This window comes from Homo sapiens, chromosome 9, assembly GCF_000001405.40.
Source record: "Homo sapiens chromosome 9, GRCh38.p14 Primary Assembly".
NCBI lineage: Eukaryota > Metazoa > Chordata > Mammalia > Primates > Hominidae > Homo > Homo sapiens.
In genome coordinates this window covers 2,320,264-2,340,703 of record NC_000009.12, presented here as the reverse complement: position 1 = coordinate 2,340,703, position 20,440 = coordinate 2,320,264, and positions in this window count along the sequence as shown.

Genomic DNA, 20,440 nt, shown 5'->3' with positions numbered 1-20,440 from the left:
CAGTCACATTACTCCAAAATATATATAATTATCATTGTCCTCATACTGATGAAATGCCACAATTACTAGATCTCTCAATGCCTTGCTTTTCACATGCAGCTCACCTCAACCAGCTGCAAGTGAATGCCTAAGTACTTGCAACATCATTGCATACCAGGGGTTATTAACAATCCATTTACTACCAGCATTGCAGTCCTTATTAATTTCTGATCTGTGGGCAGTCAAACTCCAAATCTTACTGAGGGCCTGCTTTCCATAACCATTTCTGAAACAAACTGTTTTAGCCTAAGTTTCTTAGAAAACAAAGTCTGTACCAAAGATTATGTGCGAATATATTATTTGGAGCCCAGGGCAGTGAAAATAATGGAATACAGAGTTGAAACACAAGGATGGTAAGCAATAGAAGGTAATGTGTTACCACCTGGACAATAGTTCACAATGAGTCATGAAGAGATTTAGCCAATTACTCAGCAGCTTCACCTGCCCAATCATGCAGGAAACCTCCATACATGCTTTTCCTTGGAACAACCTATTGTAGGGAGGAAAGGAGAATTTATCTAATGGCTCCTTCCCATCTGCTACTCTTAAAACATTGCTACAAAGACTCGTTTCTGAGTTGTTTTTCTTAGTCTTTTCAGCAGGTGTCTGGGAAACTCTGCAGTGTGTACTTCATCAGAGTCTGGAAGTGACAATAGGAGCTGGACGCTCTGTGACTGGTTGTCCTCAGGCAGTGGAGCCAAACGGGCTAACAGGGAGACACCTCGCCACAAGAGTGGCTTAGGTCTAATAGACACTTATTACACCCCTAGGCATTGTGCATGGTCTTGGGAATACAATAGGAATATTTTCTGTGATCAAAAAACTTCATCTAGTGAAGATAACAAAAATAAACGCTTTGTAAAATACTTACTACTATAATATGGGTTTTAAAAAACGCTATGGCTTCCTAGAGGTAAACGAAAGTTCAGTCATGTCTAGAAATTTGGCAGATGTTCCTGACAACAATGACTTAAGATACCCTGAGAATGACCCTATGGTCTAAACATAATGTGCGTTGGGAGTTTCGAGCGGGGGAATCTGGGAGTGACCAACCTGCAGATTCATTCCTCATCTATGAGGAACATCTAAACCCCTGGCCCAAGCCATGGAATGCAGGCCATACAGGGAATCAAGGCCCTTTGTTTTGGGTTAAATGAAGGTTGCTAGGGGGAAGGTGCTAGGGGAAAGATGTTAAGCAAAAATGTTGTATGAACTGCATGATTTTTACAAATGGCAGTGGTTCTCCTGTCCAGCCTGCTGCCACTGGAGTGCCCTGTATGTGAGTCCCCTCAAAAAAAACCCGTGCCTCATTTGCTGGCTCTGCGCCTCTTCTTTGGCCTCTCAAACATGGTGCCATCCCTATTGAAATCAATAGGAGTCCAGCATGACAAGTTCCTGGAGGAAAAGATCATAAACTGCGTTCAATTTTGTAAAACCAAAGTCTGTAGTTAGAAAGGAAACAAGAGTTCATTTGGCTAGCCCTTTATTCAATCACCTAATTAAGCCTCTATTATCTTGAGACCCAGAGAAGTTAAACATCATCCCAATCCCCATCTATCCCACTCTGCATAACATATTCTAGTGTTATTAACCATGCACTTTCCAAATCAAAGGTTTTACACATCTGAGATTTTGCAAATAGAATTTCCTGCTCTTCTGTATGAGTCAGGATAGACTAGCATACACTGCAGTATCAACTCTGGAATTTTATGGCTTTAAACAACAAAGGTTTCTTTCTGCTCATGGTAGTCACTCAAGGACCCAGACTGATGGAGTGTTTATTTTAACACAAGCTTCTACAATTTCTGTAGCAGTGGGAAGGGAATATGGTAAATCACATATACGTGTTTAAAGCTTCTGCCTAGAAATGCCATATATTGCTTTCACCCACCTGTCACTGGCTCGAGCATGTCATGTGGCTATACTTACATGTAAGAGGTCAGGGACAGGCTATTCTATGTACATGAAAGAGGGAAAAATCAGAAATACTTAATGGTTAGCATTAATGACTAGCACCTTCCTAAAATCTTTTTACCATCCTAATTCCTATTCGAGCTTGTAGATTCAGCTCAGATGTTATCTATTCAGAGACCCTCCTTGTGTCATGCTCCCCACCTGCAGAGTGGGTGAGAAGATCCCACCTGTGCTTCAGACTTCAGGCACTTACTTCCATTATTGCATAGACAATACAGCATAGACATTATCTCTCCACTTGTCCATCTCCCACATAGTACGGGGTGCTCCCCAAGGACAGCAACCACTTTTTACTACTGTGTGCTCAGCACCCAGCACAGTGCCTGCTACATAACAGACACTCAAATGCGTGTTTGTTGAACTGAGCAAAGCTGGGCGACAGCACTGAAAATAAAACTTCCTTTTTATGAGAATCCATTGTGCCAGAGCTAACTGAAACATCGTGCAGTGTTTTAAACATTTTTCAATGCCAGCCTCTTCTCTCCTGCTGTTTATCAAATTACAGTGACATATTCAGGTGATAAAAAGAGCTCCCCTTAGGCAGAACTTAAATATAAACATTCTAGAAAACTTTTGCCTTCATCTGTTTCACTAGTCAAGTGAACCTTGCACAAAGCCTCAAGTTTTGGGTTGTTCGGGTTTTTTCCCTAAACAGAGTTTATTCAGCAAGTAAGTAGGGCCTGGACTGGGAAAGTAACTCATTTCTCTCACTCTTTGTGGAGATGTAAATCAGGTCATAAGCAAAAGTCATTTGGAAATCTTATTTCTCTGTGGGCTCATCTATTCTGCTCTGCTGCGTGGGTGAATCCCAGGAGCACCCTCCTGCCTTTTCTGTGCCATTAAGACAGAAGAGGGAATTGTACTTAGAGATTTCCTTAAGCCAAGACTCATTTGATTGCGGTCAGGAAAACTTAGGCCAAGTTCATTGGGAAACTGAACCCAGAGCCAAGGACAGCTCCGTGGCAGTATCCGGCTAGTGGTAAGGCAGAAATGACATCCTGCCATATTTCCATGTGGATTCTCTACAAAGACAGCAAAAAAACTCTTTCCTTTTTTTTTTTTTTTTAACCTAACACCCTTCTCAGTTCATAATAGAGCATTTCCTAATGCCTTGCTACTCAAGGTGTGGTTCAAAGACCATCAGCATTTGTATCACCTGGGACCCTGTTAGAAATTGATCATCTTGGCCCTCTCTCTACACTTGCTGAATCAGAACTTGCAGTTTAGCAAGATTCCCAGGTGATACATGTAGACATGAAAATTTGAGAAGCACTGAGCTGGGCTCTGAACACATCTTATGGAGGAGTCTCATTAGTATAAGTACAGCTTTGCCTACCACGGTCCTCATCTGACACTTTGGGAAAGGTAAACACTCCTTGAGCCAGGAGGTATTGCACTTTCTTTATTCATTGTTTAGGAGGCCACAGGTGATTGAAGGTGAAGGGAAAACCATCGTGTGTCCAAGGATCTCAGGGCCAGTTCCTCCTGCAGACAGCTCTCTTTATAACTGGGTAGTAGTCAGCCAGGCTGAAAATATGGGCAGTCCATTTACTGTGGGCTGATAAAAAAGACCCAGAGATGCTGCAAAACCATCTCCAAAGATCCCCAGCCTCCTATGCTACAAGCCACAGCTGGCAGCTCTTTTACAGCGTTTGCCTTAGGTGAGAGTGGTGAGAAGTAGGAGACAGCAGGATTTATGGGCTGTTTAAAACTTCCTATGTCATTTTTCTCCTTTGTACAAATACATGGACTCTTCTGACCGTTTCTCTTCTCCTCTGACTGTTGTTTTCTTCTTTGTGCTGTCTGATTTCCATTATCTCTCTTTCTCCCCAGTTTCCCTCTCTCTTCCGATGACATTACTTAGGTTTACTGCTAACTTGACTATCCTGTAGTACAACGTTGTCTCATTCATCATTTTGCCCTTTCTTGGTAGACTATCTTAGTTCATGTCATTTCATGTACCCTGAGATTAAGGTATTTCTGTAATGACTTCTGCTATCTTTTCGTTATATTTTTGTATTACTATGCAATGATATTGAGTATTTCATGTGTTCTTTTACAAAGTGACCGATGCTAATGCACTGCATGTAGTCAGTTAAAAGAAACTCAGCATGCTAGGCTAGCATGGGTAAAGGTCTTCATCCATTATCTCCACTTCTCTCCCGTACTATCAATCTCTCCATCTCCAATGGCAACTGACCTTCAGCCTACAGCATATTCAGATCTCCTCCATCTTAAAAAAAAAATCTGGTTTCAATCCTGTTCTCCCTTAAGCATACTGCCCAAAGGGGTTCGGTGTGTATTTGAGTACCCAGTTTCCTTCGTTTGGAATGCTTAACTATCTCCTGTCTGCCTGCATTTCTCTTTTGTGCTGCCATCTAAGTGAACTTTTTGAAACATAAGCTGTTACTGCACCCCCTGCTGGAAATCTGGCAATGGCATTCTTCCATTAATCTCAGACATCCAGATATTGAGTGCCCTTTGCAGCTGAGTCCAAGCGTTACTTACCAACCTATTTCAGGTCATTCATTACCTGCTCAAATGCATAACCCCATGGTGTTTCCTGTTGTCTTCTAAACACAATAACGGGTTTTCTTGCCCACTACCTGTATCTGTTCATTTTTCTATGTACATTATTTTCCCTTTTAGTATCTGCTGAGGTCCTGCTTAACCCTTCAAGACCCAGCCAAGGTCACCTTTCTTGTGTCAGAAGCCTAAAGCCTTACATGACCTCCTCTTTGTTCCCAAGCATCTTAGCCATGCCTCTGTCTCATTGATTGCCATGTGAATGTTTATGATTCTGCAGCATGAGTTTCCTGAACTCTTGGATTTTTATTCCACTTGTCTTTATACCCCAACTTCTAATATAATGCCTGATATAAAAAGATATGCAAATGTTTATTGAATTAAATTTCATATTGTCTGTAGATTTTTTCAGTTTATTTCATACTGTGATTTTAGACTCGTAAGTTGGTTATCAATTCAATCAGGAAAGAGTCATTTACAGAGACACAAAGTCAGAAAGCATAGTTTCTGGGAGGTGTGCAGTTCTGGATGGGATCCAGCCTCCCAGAGGAAAATAAGTCATGGAGAATCAGCAAGCCTCTTAGCCCTGAACTTCCTCTCCCCGTATGCTTTTGATTTGACCTGCTGAAAAAGCAACTTCTCTAGCCTCCTTTGCTGCCAAGAGATTGCCCTGGATGATTTGGCTATCGTGAAGGAGGAAATGCTGGACCTAGCCACCACTGGCCAGATATCCACTGGAAATCAGGCCAGAGGCCAGATGGGTCAGCAATTAGGCCTCAGCACTTAGGGGAGTTGAATAAAGGGTAAGGAAGCTAGAAAACTGTGAGTGGTTTCCACATTTGCTTTACAGAGTTAAGGAACGGATGCACGCTGTGCTGGGAGCACCTTACAAAACCCCACTGCAGTCTTCTCCTCCTCTGTATTGCATACTCAGCTGGGTTCCAAACTTCAGGTGCATGGTTCCTTGATGGCACTGAGTGGCGCTGCCCAGAGCCATGCTGTGAACAGGAGAAATGACAATCCTGAGGCCTCCCAAACTGGCTTTGCCTCTGCTGGGGATGAACAGGCTTCTCAGCTGGCTCAGGAGCTCCAAGTGGTCCACTGGAGTAAAATCCAGTATGTTTTACTCCCTAGAGGTCTGTGGGGCACTCCACAACTACCTCCAAAACCAGAGTGGACTGTAACACACATTTTGGACTTGCACTTGCCTGAGTCCAAACTTTGGAGTTTTTCAAATGTTTCATGGTGGAAAAGGTATATCCACATGTTCCAGTCAACGCTCCTATTGCCAGACATCACAGGAACTGTTCTCAGAAGAAACTCCCACTCCCCACATTTTATGTTGAGTTCACGTCATCATGCAATGACTGAAATAGAGAGAAACTTTACTAAAAAATAGTTAGATGTGTTAGTATGTGTACAAGTATACTGTTTATTTATGTCTATGTAAATAATTGCAGTGTTTTGTTTTGTTTTGTTTTGTTTTTTGAGATGGAGTCTCACTCTGTGACCCAGGCTGGAGTGCAGTGGTGCAATCTTGGCTCATTGCAGCCTCCGCCTCCCAGGTTCAAGTAATTCTCCTGCCTCAGCCTTCTGAGTAGCTGGGATGACAGGCCCCTGTCACCATGACCAGCCATTTCCTTTTGTATTTTTTAGTAGAGATGGGGTTTCACCATGTTGGCCAGGCTGGTCTCAAACTCCTGACCTCAAGTGATCCCTCTGCCTTGGCCTCCCGACGTGCTGGGATTACAGACATGAGCCACCACAGCCAGCCCAGTGGATGATTTTTAAGTATTGAAATACTTACATTTTTCTGGAAGCAGTATTTTTGAAATTTTTTTTAAGATTCTGAATCATAGTATTGAAATACTTATATTTTTCTTGGAACAATTTTTTAAATATTTTTTGAAATTCTGAATCTGAATCTTTTACAACTTGAGATATACCCAGAGAGCTATTTGCTGCATTGCAATTTCTAATCCAACAAAACTGCACTCGTTTAGAAAATACTCTTCTATACCTCCATAATCCTCAAGAGGAGAATGAAAATGACAATCAAAACCAAGCATCTATTGCAAGGAATATTTCTTATTCTAGTTCAAAGACTTTTTGAAAAAGTGGAATATAAACAATACAAAATTGAAGTTGATGCAGGTAACTGCATCAGATACCCCATCTACAGATGGTGACACTGGAAGAGTCCAAGATAAACTGGCAGTGCTCTCTTTAAAACAAGGTTATAGCTCACGAGCCACAGAAAGATCCTTGAAAAAGGAAGAGCTTTGCAGAAACACTTCCTCAAAGTTGCTAAATAAAAGGAGGGATTATTTGAAAATGTTAAGCCAGAGGAAAATATTTGGAGTTAGTTTATAACCCTAATGTCACCATTCATGCATGATGTCTTACATTCCAATAAAATGTCAAAGATTTTTCAACAGCTGAACAAATTTGCAGGACAGTAAACTCTCATTATGACACCTTTTTTTTGGTAAATTTTTAAGTACTTTATTAATAAGTTAATTAATACTTAATTATTTAGTACTTAAATTTTCAACTTTCTGGGGATTGTTAAAGTTTTTATTTTATATAAAGTTTTTAGTAATTTTATTAATTTACTGCTAATAAACAATTTTGCAATAACAATGTATGTTTAGTACACATACATTTAAAAATTTAGATTTTTACTTGTCTTAAGGTATATTGAATTTTTAGTTGTTAACACATTAAATATTTGGTTTAATTTTTTGCTTCACTAACTCTGAATACATTAAAAAACATAAAATGCCAGTATCAATAGTAGTATTTTAATGTTATGCAAAATAAATATCAAGTTACTGAAACTGGCATTTTGCTTTGGTATTGTAATCAAATAAATCAAACAGTAAAACAATAATAAATAAAATAATAAAACAATAAAAGCCCATAATTATACACATAATACACACACATTTATACACATATATAGATGCAGAGGGAACATTTAAGGCATAGAACTGGTTTCTATATCTTTCCCCCTTATATTCCGATTTCCACCATTTGTTAAATTGAATGCTAAACAAGTTTCTCAGAGCTTCTCAAAATGAGGACTGTCATCTCAATCTGGTTAAAACCATACTGTGGTTGCTCCTATGTCACAATCAAATAGAAATTACAGGATACCAGGAGCTAGAGACGGGCCAAAAGGGTTTCATTGTTTTAGCCCTTAATAAATGCAGTGCAAGCAGTAGTCATACATGATGGATTTCCTTTTCACCTCTGAGAGAGGGATTCATCCATCGTCAGTTCATTGCCTATGAGCTGGATCGACTTACTCAGTGGCTCAGGTCAGTGGGTGCTGACCTCTGAAAGGGCTTCACTCTCCACAGCCAGCTCCCTGCAGCATGGACTCAGGCCCCCATTCCAAGAGGGACATGTGTTTTGACCTTCTCTCTTACTTTCCTCAGGGAGCCTCAGAGGCCCATGAAATGTCTAATTAGAACTCTTTCAGTGCATTCGGATTAGGTTTCTCCCTATTCAAAAAAAAGAGAAAAGGCAAAGTATAGTTTCTAAACAAAGACTCTTAACAGGGCATTTGCAGGTATTACAAGTTTTTTTCCCTTGTTTCAGGTTCTTACTCAGGCTGCTTCAGGAAGAGAGAGCTTGCCCAAGGTCAGAGAGGTAGTAAGTGGTTCAGCCAGGACCCAACCCCAAGTCTAGCTGCTTCAAGAGCTTATGTTCTTCCAGCTCTATCAGCTCTACCTACAGCATGCATCAGAATCCCCTGGAGGACTGGTTAAAACACAGATTGCCAGTCCCCTTCCCACCCCAGGGGTGAGGGCCCACAAATTTGCGTGTCTAACAGGATCCCAGGTGATGTCCTCAGATCACTGCACCGTATCAATGCCCTCCAACCTGAGAGGGAACTTGTTAGGAGGGTCCCCCTGCCACCAGCACTTCCAAGTGATTCTGATGTAGGTGACCCACAGGTGATATTTGGGATAAATTATGTCAGCTAACGGTAGCTATAGGTAAGTGCATAGTATCTATAATTCCAAACAGCATGGCACAATGAAGTGCTAAATACAAGTTTTAAAATAATTAGATGTGAATGACAGACAGCAATTAATTTTTTTTTTTTTTTTGAGGTGGAGTTTCACTCTCGTTGCCCAGGCTGGATGGTGCGATCTCGGCTCACTGCAACCTCTGCCTCCCGGGTTTAAGCGATTCTCCTGTCTCAGCCTCCTGAGTAGCTGGGACTACAGGCACGTGCCACCACACCCAACTAATTTTTTTTTGTATTTTTAGTAGAGACGGGGTTTCACTATGTTGACCAGGATGGTCTCGAACTCCTGACCTCAGGTGATCCACCCACCTCGGCCTCCCAAAGTCCTGGGATTACAGATGTGAGCCACTGCACCGGGCCAGCAATTAATTTTTAATGGGCAATGGCAGTAACCAAAGATGACTTCAGTGACGCATTTGGGCCATATAATTTGCAGAGTTTAGTGCAAAATGAAAATTTGGGGTCATTTTCTCAAAAGGCAAGAAAAGCATATTAATGGCACTAAAGTATAAAATTTTCCTTTCTTTCTCAGTCTCTCAACTTGTTATGCTGATTTTCACTTGCTATTTAATGAAGTTCAAAATGTTTTAAAATTGAATTGTTTGCATAAATTTACCATTCTTTTTTTTTTTGAGATAGAGTCTTGCTGTGTGGTCCAGGCTGGAGTGCAGTGGCGCAATCTCAGCTCACTGCTAGCTCCACCTCCTGGGTTCATGCCATTCTCCTGCCTCAGCCTCCCAAGCAGCTGGGACTACAGGCGCCCACCACCACGCGCGGCTAATTTTTTGTATTTTTAGCAGAGACGGGGTTTCACCATGTTAGCCAGGATGGTCTCGATCTCCTGACCTCATGATCCGCTCGCCTTGGCCTCCCCAAGTGCTGGGATTACAGGCGTGAGTCACCGCACCAGGCCACCATTCATCTTTATGTTGTGCAATGTCAGCTTTGAATGCAAATTTGAGAGCATTTAATTCATATGCAAAATCACTGATATAACACAATTTATATTTCAGAGTTCCTACATACGTGTGTATTTCATTCTTACCAAAACAGGAAAAACACTGCACAAAACCGAGCTTCTTTTGTTTCACTTCTTTACATGTGCACATTCCATCAACGCTCTCTACCTTCAGCTTATTGATCAGTAAGGAAAGATTGAAGGAAAAGAAACTATGGTTGCCCTATCTTTCCCTTGCCTTCTGTGTTACCATTTTCAGTGTTAAGTGGTTAGCTAATACAGGGAAGTAACATGGGTAAGAATGGGTATAAGATCTCGTTGTCAGTCTTTCTTACATCATCACTGCCTTCTTTCCATGTTGGAAGTTCTGGTTAGAGCAGAAATCAGGGCTTCTGCAGGATATCAGCACCCCTCTTACTTGAGCATACTTAAGATGCTTTCCTTGTGCTAACTCACTTTGAAGTGCCATGCATGACGGGCCCACTAAAATCCTGTGCTCATGGAATATCTTGAACACTTTATGTGAATAGGGGAAGAAAGAAGGAAGGAAACTCATATTTTTGTGCATCTCCTTTGCTCATGTGCATGCTCCACTGTCCCATCAGGCTTCACTTACAAAACACAAGTTCAAAAATAAACTTATTAAGAATTTCAAGACAGGGAGCACAGAGCATTAAACCATGCATAGGGCTCTTCTGAGCATGGGGCCCTGTGCCCTGCATGGGTTGCATACCCGCAAAGCCAGCCTATTTGGGTGCTAGAATGATGACGCAGAAAATATAAAATTATGAAGGGCATTCCAGACAGAGGATCGGGTGAGATGGAGGGGGTGGAGGGAGGCACACATTCAGTGCCATAAAAATGTAGGGGAAATCCATCGGTGATAGACTGGGTAAAGAAAATGTCGCACATATATGCCATGGAATACTATGCAGCCATAAAAAGGAACAAGATCATGTCCTTTGCAGGGATATGGATGAAGCTGAAAATCATTATCCTCAGCAAACTAACGTGGGAACAGAAAACCAAACGCTGTATGTTCTCATTTATAAGTGGAAGCTGAACAATGACAACACAGGGACACAGGGAGGGGAACAACACACACTGGGATCTGTCAGGGGCAGGGGGAGGGACAGCATCAGGATAAATAGTTAATGCATGCTGGGCTTAATACCTAGGTGATGGGTTGATAGGTGCAACAAACCACCACGGCACACGTTTACTTACATAACAAACCTGCACGTCCTGCACATGTATCCCGGAACTTAAAATAAAATAAAATTTTTTTAAATGTAGGGGAAACCCATGTTCTATCTCAAAAGAGGCTTCCTTTCTGTTAGACCTATGTAGTGATATGTAGACCTATGTAGTGGATCCAAGGTCCAGGGATCTAGCTGGCTGGGAATAGCTTATTCTCTTGAGAACAGTACCCTCAATCATGAGGCAAGGCCTTTTGTCCCCCCTTTTCTCTATTAAAAATATAGCTTAAATTCATACATAAGATTCAAGGTAAATATGAGATTATTTTATTTTCGTGTGTTATATTTTCTCTCAAAAGCAAGAAACCATCTCATAAAAGCTATGTATGTTATTGATCAGTATAATGAAAGTTACCGGAAGATAATTTTCAGCCTCGAGTGCCTAGAGGATATTTTAGTTTCTTTAATGAAATTACAAAGAAATATTTCCACTTATTTGTAAGTTTTTTTATATGAAACCATGTTTATTAAATCATATTGTTACTACTTTCTTTTTCCCCTTGGTTATTACTGTAAAATTCCAAAGCGAAACACCTAGTATGTTGGGGATTGTTTTGTAACAAAGCTAACATTTTATGAAACAGTAATATATCTTTGCTTTTCAAATTACTACTATGTGAGCTAAAATTAGGTGTTATATCTATTTGTGTTAACCAAACTAGAAGAGACTTCTTACCAAAGTACCATTATCAACTTACATGAAATGCATTCACTTTTTGCCTGGAGATTACACATTGTATGTTGTAAATTAAAGTAATATTGTAAGAATCTGGTATTTAACATTTCAATATAAATTTCAATTTTAAACATGATATAAAGTATTTTCTAATGAGTTTTAATATATGTAGTTAACACATCAGGGTTCTAGACTAAATTCTAATATTCGAGATAAAAGAATGTCTTGTTAATTTATAGCTTTTGGTATTAAATTTAAATTAGACAAGTAATTTGTTAGTACCTTCTCGTTGCAAAAAAATGTAAACAATACAGATAAATAGCAGTCCTCCCTGAGCCTCTAGAGGTAACAATTATTATCAGAGTAATAAGTATAATTTAAATGATTTTCTTTGCATTTATGTCATAATGTATATACAAAAATTTGATTATTTAGTATGTCATGTCATTTTGAGATTTTGTTCTAAAACTTGCTTTTATAAAAACAAATATCAATATGTTATAGAGTTCTAAATAAATATATTCATATAGATTTTTTTTTTTCTTGAGACAGAATTTCCACTTGTCACCCAGGCTGAAGCGTAGTGGCACAATCTCAACTCACTGTAACCTCCAGTTCCCTGGTTCAAGGAATTCTCCTGCCTCAGCCTCCTGAGTAGCTGGGATTACAGGCGTATGCCACCATGCCTGGCTAATTTTTGTATTTTTAGTAGAGATGGGGTTTCACCATGTTAGCCAGGATGGTCTCGATCTCCTGACCTTGTGATCTGCCCGCCTCAGCCTCCCAAAGTGCTGGGATTACAGGCGTGAGCCACCGTGTCTGGCTAGTATATATGTATTAATTTTGACTGCTGCCAGTATTTCTTAGATGTTTGTTCATTTATTCCTCTCTTAATGACACTTTGGCTGTTTCCAATTTTTTACTTTCCATACAATGCTATAATGAACAGCCTGCCATATGCCTCTTTATTCATACGCAAAGGTATTTTTGAGGATCCAGAAGAAAAAAATAGAACCAATAAGTCAAAGGTATACATTTAAATGTTTATAGATCCTGTCAAAGTACTCTCCAAAAAGACTTTGCCACTTTACATCCATATGAAATATCCATGCCAAAACTTGTTATTTTGAACCTTTTGAAATATTTGGGTAAAATATATAGAATCTTTAAAAATATTTAGGTGAAAATTTGTGTGGGTTCTCTTAGGAGTGCAAAGAGAGTCTAATATTCAAAATGTATTAATAAAATTAAGTATATTAACAGAGGATAAAAATCATAAAATACATACCAAACATGTGCTTGATAAAATCCAACTCTTTGTGACGGTTAATTTTATGTGTCAACTTCTCTAGGCTATGGTACCCAGATATTTGGTCAAACACTATTCTAGATGTTTCTGTGAAGATATTTTTTAGATGAAATTAACATTAAAATCAATAGACTTAGAATAAAGCAGATTACCTGTTGTAATGTGGGTAGGCCTCATTCAATCAGTTGGAAGTCTTAAGAGAAAAAAGACTGACCTCCCCAGAGGAAGAAGACATTCTCCCAGCAGACCACTTTCAAGCTCAAACTGCTGCATTGGGTCTTCCGTGACTCTCCAACCTGCAAGCCTACCCTGCAGATTTTGGATTTGCCAGCTTCTGCAATGGTGTAAGCCAGTTCCTTAAAATTTATCTATCTATCTATCTATCTATCTATCTATCTATCTATCTATCTATCCATCCATCCATCCGCCTGCCTGCCTGTCTATCCATCCATCCATCCATCCATCCATCCATCCATCCATCCATCCATCCATCTATCCATCATCCATCTTCTTGGTTATGTTTCTCTGGAGAACCCTGACAAACTGATACACTCCTAATTTTAAACCAAAAACAAAAAAGAAAGAAAGAAAGAAAAACTCTAAGTCAATTGGCACTAGAACCAACCTTTTTGAATTTGATAAGGGTATCTGCTGCCATCTATAATAAATACTTAATCTATAATAAATACTTTATGTTGAAACACTGACATTTCCATCTAAGCTGGATACATTTGGTTATTGTAACCATGATTATTTAAAATTGTACTGAGGTCCCTAGACAAAATGATACAAAATAAATTTTAAAATGAGAGGTATAAGTATGGGGAAGAAAAAGACAAAACTGTAATTATTTGCAGGTGGTATGATAATCTACCTAACCATGTGAGACAACAAATGATCAGTGCATTAGGAGATCTTCCCATCTCTGTGTAGCCTCTTCAGCTCTCATGTTAGACTACTGCCTTCCAGTTTCCACCTCCTGCTCCCCTCTCAGGTCAGCAACTGTGGTTTCAGTCTTTCTGTGAGGCGTTCTCAGGGACAGAGCTCCCTGCTTGTTATCACAGTTCATTCTTTGCTGGTTCAGCGCAGTCTCTGGAGCAGTGCCGTTTCCATAGATCCAATCTCTGCACGTGGATGTTCACAAACCTAAAACAGGAGAAGTTTATTTACAAACTCTTTTAACATAGAATCATACATGTAAGAAAATGGAGGGTTACTAACAACTAATCAGATTAGAAAAGAAGGATATGGCTAACGTCACACCTCTAGCGAGGGAGATGGAATTGGGACCCAAGGGCCTTGACTCCTAATCTAGTGCTCTTTCCTAATACCACATGGATGTATGAACATAATAGTAGCAACATTTGTTGAGTGCTTACATATGCTAGGGATTATCTTAAGTGCTTCATATGAATTAATCTGCCTAATTTTCACAACAGCCCTGTGAGGTGGATGCTTACTTTTATTGTTCTCATTTTAAAGCTGAGACAATTGAAGTACAGAGAAGTTAAGTAACTTGTCAAAGGTCACATGGCTAGAAAAATATGGAGCTAGAATTTGAAACCATTCCGTTTGTGCTTTTCTATCATTATCATCATCACCATCTCATGCTTTCAAGAAACCTCAAGAAAAATTCCTCCCTGGGTTTAACCTCTTTTCCATTAAAATAAATAAATAAATAGGCCGGGCGCAGTGGCTCACGCCTGTAATCCCAGCACTTTGGGAGGCCAAGGCGGGTGGATCACAAGGTCAGGTGACAGAGACCATCCTGGCTAACACTGTGAAACCCCGTCTCTACTAAAAATGCAAAAAATTAGCCGGGTGTGGTGGCGAGCACCTGTAGTCCCAGCTACTCGGGAGGCCGAGGCAGGAGAATGGCATGAACCCAGGAGGCAGAGCTTGCAGTGAGCAGAGATTGTGCCACTGCGCTCCAGCCTGGGTGACAGAGCGAGACTCTGTCTCAAAAATAAATAAATAAATAAATAAAATATTGAGGTTTTCTAAAAGGCTACTTAGAAAAGACCCAGTACAGAGTATAGTTCCTGGCCTGGTTGGGTTCTCGTCACTCCAATATCATCAGCCTGTCCCTCTGGTCACTTCTTACCCAATGTACATGCAATGGAGATTCTTTACACAGCTCTTGGGCTAACTCACTGATATCCCTTCCAGATATTAGTATTAATATAATTCTGGAAAAACATGGACTTCAGAGTATAGACATGAGTAAGAACCCAGGCTTTTCCTCTTCCTAGCTATGTGGTTCTTCTCTTAATGCTCTCCTTCTTTGAGGGATCATTGTCAGGATGAAATAAGTCATTTGCTCCTTTACTTAAATATTTTTCATCCCTCATGCTACATTTGTATAGCCTCGTATGTTTAGTAAGAACCAGACAGCAGAAATCCTACACCCAGCTCTGTTGCTCACCAGCTAGGAGACCTTGAGCAAGTGCTTAACCTTGGTTACATTCCTCTGTGCCTCGGTTTCTTTTCTGTATGGGGATATTAATGGTATCTCCCTCCCAGGATCCTAGTGAGCACTAAATGCATTCAAATATGTAAAGCTTTAGATGAGGATGTGGCATACAGAATCCATTACATAAAAGATGGCTATTAGTATTATTATTCAGTTGTGTCTGTCCTGGAAATACTGAGATGAATGAGAAGCTCATAGTGAAGGAGTCAGATGCATGAAGGGACACTTAGAATCTAACACAGTTAAATGTGGTTAAAAAAAAAGGGGGGATGTGCACTGAGAGATCCGAAAGCCTAGAAAACAGACCCCTGGCCAGTGATAAGGAGACAAGGGGAATCTTGCTGGAAGAGGGTAACCTGAGCTGAGTGTAAAGGATGGATTCAGAATCAGTCAGTGCGGTCAGAAGTGGGAGGCATGATGTATGACAAGCCTTCAACCTGGTAGACATGAAATACATGTTTCATCACTCCACCTTGCCCTCCCATCTTGTTCCCTGCTGATGGCTTTTCTTTCCAGGCTGACCTCATACGTGCAGACATCCCTTGGCCTAAGTGTACAACCTGTCTGCACCTTTGGCTACCTCCTTGTCTAGGCCTCCTTCTCTTCAGAGGGATGAGCAGCAATCTTGTACATTTCCTTACTATCAGGACCAGAAATGCTGTATTCCTCTTGAGCCAGGTGAGATAACCCCATCAAAACCTGACCAGGTCAACCATACAGTAACTCTATAACCTTGCAAATCCCAATTCCCACAAAGCAAATAGAAGAATACTCACTGACCCCAAAAATGCTCCCACTCAATAGAAAATCAGTTTCATTAACTTATAGTCCCTCCAGACTTGCCTGTAGGTTGCCTATCTTTATAATGATAAATTAGCTAGTGCTTCTGCGTTATCATCCTTGCTCTACTGTGTGCCCATTTTATCTGGAGCTTTTGACATGGTGAAGTGGACAAATTAAAAATTGTATATTCACAGAGAACTCTGTGTGTGTGTGTATGTATGTGTGTGTGGTTATTGTTATTGTTCTGTAAGAAGACTCTCTGCTATGAGACTACAAGTCTCCATTTTTAGTCTATTTTTCAGTTGGTGTAAACAAGTATTAGTGCTCTGGGTTTTGGTTTTGCTTATATATAATAGATTATTTTTCCCAAGTAAAAATATACCATCAATAATAGGAAGGAAAAAAAAAACCATAAATAATTCAGTTCAAGGCAGTATCCAGATTCTGACTTGAGTGTTCCCTTGGTGTAACACCCTAGCATTCTAGAAGTCAGGCTTGATAACCCCACAGTTAACAAAGAAATGTCTGCCATGCAATTACATAAAAATTGTAACTTCTGGGTGATAGAAGATACTATAAAGAAAGCTAAATGACAAATGACAAACAGAGATATTAGTAACATGTACAACAAAGGATTTACATCCAGAATCTATAAAAAGCACCTACAAATTGATGCGAAAAAGACAAATGTCCCAACAGAGAAATGGGCTTGAGAAATGAACAAGCAATTCACAGACGAAAAGCAAAAACTCAATAAACACATGAAAAGATTTTCAACCTTATTAGTAATCAGAGATATGCAGATTAAACCCATAATAACCTATCTTTTTCTCTATCACATTTGCAAAAATTTAAAAGTTTGAGGACCTGGCACTTTTATACAGTATCAAACTCTTTTAACATAGAATTATACATGTAAGAAAATGGAGGGTTACTAACAACTAATCAGATTAGTATAAATATAGATATAGTATTAGATATAGATTGGTAAACCTGTTATTATTTTAAATATTTCAATTTTAAATTGACCCCTCAATTCTACTCTAGGATTCCATTCTACAGAGATGCTCACCCATATGTGCAAATATTTATGTAATAGGTGTTGATTGTACTATAATTTGCATACAGCAATAAATTTGGAAAATTCATATCAATAAAGGAGAATTTAAATAAATGTTAGTTCACTCATAAGATGGAATACTTTGCCAACCTTCAAAAAAGCAAGATAGACATGGAAAGACCGCCACAGCACATTATTAGTAAAGAAAGTAGTTATTTTCAGCGCTTTGGGAGGCCAAGGTAGAAGGATCACTTGAAACCAGGATTTTGAGACCAATCTGGGTAACATAGTGAGACCCCACCTCAACAAAATAATTAAAATTTAGCTGGATATGGTGGTGCATTCCTGTAGTCCTAGCTCCTCAGGGGTCTGAGGCAGGAGGATCACTTGAACCCAGGATTTCAAGGCTGCAATGAGCCAGGATCAGGACACTGCAGGGCAGCCCAGGCAACAGAGCAAAACACTATCTCTAAAACAAAAAAGATAAGTAGTTACAGTGCCATTCATGTTTTTGAAAGTCATGTAGCATATGTACCTATAAGTGTGTGTAAATGCGTGGAACAAAATTAGAGAAAGACACGGCGCTATTAGATTGAATTACGTGATATTGCAATGTTTGACAGTTTTTGACCTAAAAAATGGCAATGTCATATGGTTCAAGATATTATTAAAATAATTAAATGGCATACAATACAGAAGGTATATTTAAGAGAAGAAACACACTTTATAGTATTCTTTAAGTCTTTATAGGGGTTATGCATTTATGTATCATGGAATAAAATGTTTAATGTCTTAAAAGTAAAACTCCAGATTTGACATATTTGTTATGAGTAATAATTGCTTACCTTGTGATATATGTCTGCGTGATTAATATGTGTGCACCTAATGTGGTATGTATATGTGTATGTGTATAATTCAGAAATAATCCTATTATGGTCATTACTGCAAAACTTACAATGTACCAGGCACTGTGCCACTTTACAAACATTATACCACTTAATCTTCACAAAAATATGAGAAAATATTATATGCATTTTTCAGATAAGAAAATAACCACTGACACCAATAACTGTCTACATCCCATCTGAGAGAGATTAACATGCCCACCATCACAGGACTAGCATGCAATAGGATGAAGATTTGAATCTGAGCAGTCTAATCCAAGAGCACCGATCGTAATCACCATGCAACCAAGGCCTTAGACCATGTACCTCCTCCCTGTATTGTGGCCCCTGTTTGAAACCACAGCTCCAGTGTGGCAACCATTTAGACCACCAATGGCTGTTGTGCCACTGAGATGATCAGTACTTCTAGGCTTGCCACCAACAATACCCTTTTTCACGTTGTTTTCAGTTTTGTATCCCACATTTTGAAAGATTCTTATCCTGATCAACATGTAATAAGTCATAAATAAATTCCATTTATTCTATTATTATTTACCCATGTTTTCATCTGCATCCTAGAAAACACAATTGGAATATTTAACTAGATAACACAATTGGAATATTTAGACATGTTTTTAAATGAAAGGACCATTTACAGAAATATAGAGGAGTTTAAAAGAGTGGGTCTCAACTTTGCCCCTCAAGGGACATTTGGCAATATCTGTAGACATTTTTTATTGTCACAACTGGGGTGGTTGCTATTGACATCTAGTGGGCATAGACTGGGAATGTTGCTAAACATTCTGCAATGCCCAGAACAGCCTGCACCAACAAAGAATTATTTGGCCCAAAATATCAGTAGTGTTGAGGTTGAGAAATCCTGCTTTAAGGTACCAGACAAGAGATGGTAAGGTGCTCAGGACCTAGCAACAGGAGGAAGCCATTACCACCCCTAGGTCTGAGGAGGAGGAAATGAAGCAGTGTTGCAAACACCCAAGTGAGATCCAGGTGAGGGAAAAGGGAACTGCCTAACAGAAGTTATGGTCAAAGAGGGAAGTAGGCATTCCCAGAACAGCACAAAGAGGGTGAGGAAGTAGAAAAAATACCACATTTTTTTCTCCTTCCACCTTCTAATCTTCTGTTGGTGATTCAGGGTGCCCAGGTGTTGCAGTTGTTAAGGTTGGCCTTTCAGAGCAAGAGTAGGGCAAAGAAGGGAGAGGATTGAAACTCAGGGATCAGGGAATGAGAGAAAAGAGAGAAAACCAGTATAATGCAATTAATAATTTCAATGTTCAATAAGGATTCATAATTAAAAAATGTTATGAATTGAATGTGTCCCCCCAAAATTCATATGTTGATGTGTGTGATGAGGGGGTTTTGGGGATGTGGGGACTTTTAATGCAATTAGGTTTAGATGAGGTCATAAGGATGGAACCCCCATCATGGGATTAGTGTCTTTATAAGAGGAAGAGACTAGCGTTTTCTTTTTCTCCCTCACTCTGTTAATCTCTCTGTGTTCCTCTACCTCTCATATCCCTCCCTCTTCTACCCCTTCTCATTCTCCCTCTACTCCTCTCCCTCTTTCTTTCTCTCTTCTCCCTCCAGTTCCTCTCTCCCTCCTCCCTTCCTCATCTCCCCCTCTCTCTCCCCCACACTTTCTACCTCTCATGTGAGGATACAACAAAAAGACAGCTGGCGTGCAAAGGGCCCTCACAAGGAAACAAATTGGCTGGCACCCTGATCTTGAACTTCCCAGCCTCCAGAACTGAGAAATAAATTTCTGTTGTTTAATCTGCCCAGTCTAGGCTATTTTGTTATAGCAGCCAAAACAACTGAGACACCAAGAAAGTGGTGATACATTGTGAAATCAGGTAAACCCTGGCTGGACTGTGGGGTTAGTATGCAATAAGTCAAGTAAGCAAACCAACTCTGGGCAGTCACTGTTACCCTTTCCTTTATTTGGGGTGTTGTCCAAGTTTGACCTGTCCTGGAAGCATGCTGTCAGGTATCGTCACTCCCTGATCCTGGCTCCAATAACCCTGTCAAGACTACTAATCATTCATGTTTCAAAAATCCAGTCATCAACAGCCAATCAGAGTGTCCAATGTAGATATTAATGGCTATAATTCCCACCAAAAACGTAAAAAAATTGTTGGGTCAGAGAGCCAATAACTCATTATGGCTCCTTTAGAACTTTAAAAAATATCAAAAAAATAATTCATCCGAGCCTCCATCAACTCCAGGCTGGAAGCCCCTGAAACGGCACGAGCATGTACTCATTCCAAAGGTCACAGAACTTTCTGTTAGGTGCCACGTCAGACTGAAAGTGCACCCTCGGTTGTTGGGATGAGACTGTCTTCCTCTAGCTGTTAAGAGGTTGGAGTCATTCATAATACCAAATTTATGTGTTACATGTTGAATATTTAGAATGGCTTTGACCTATAGATCTTAAGCTTC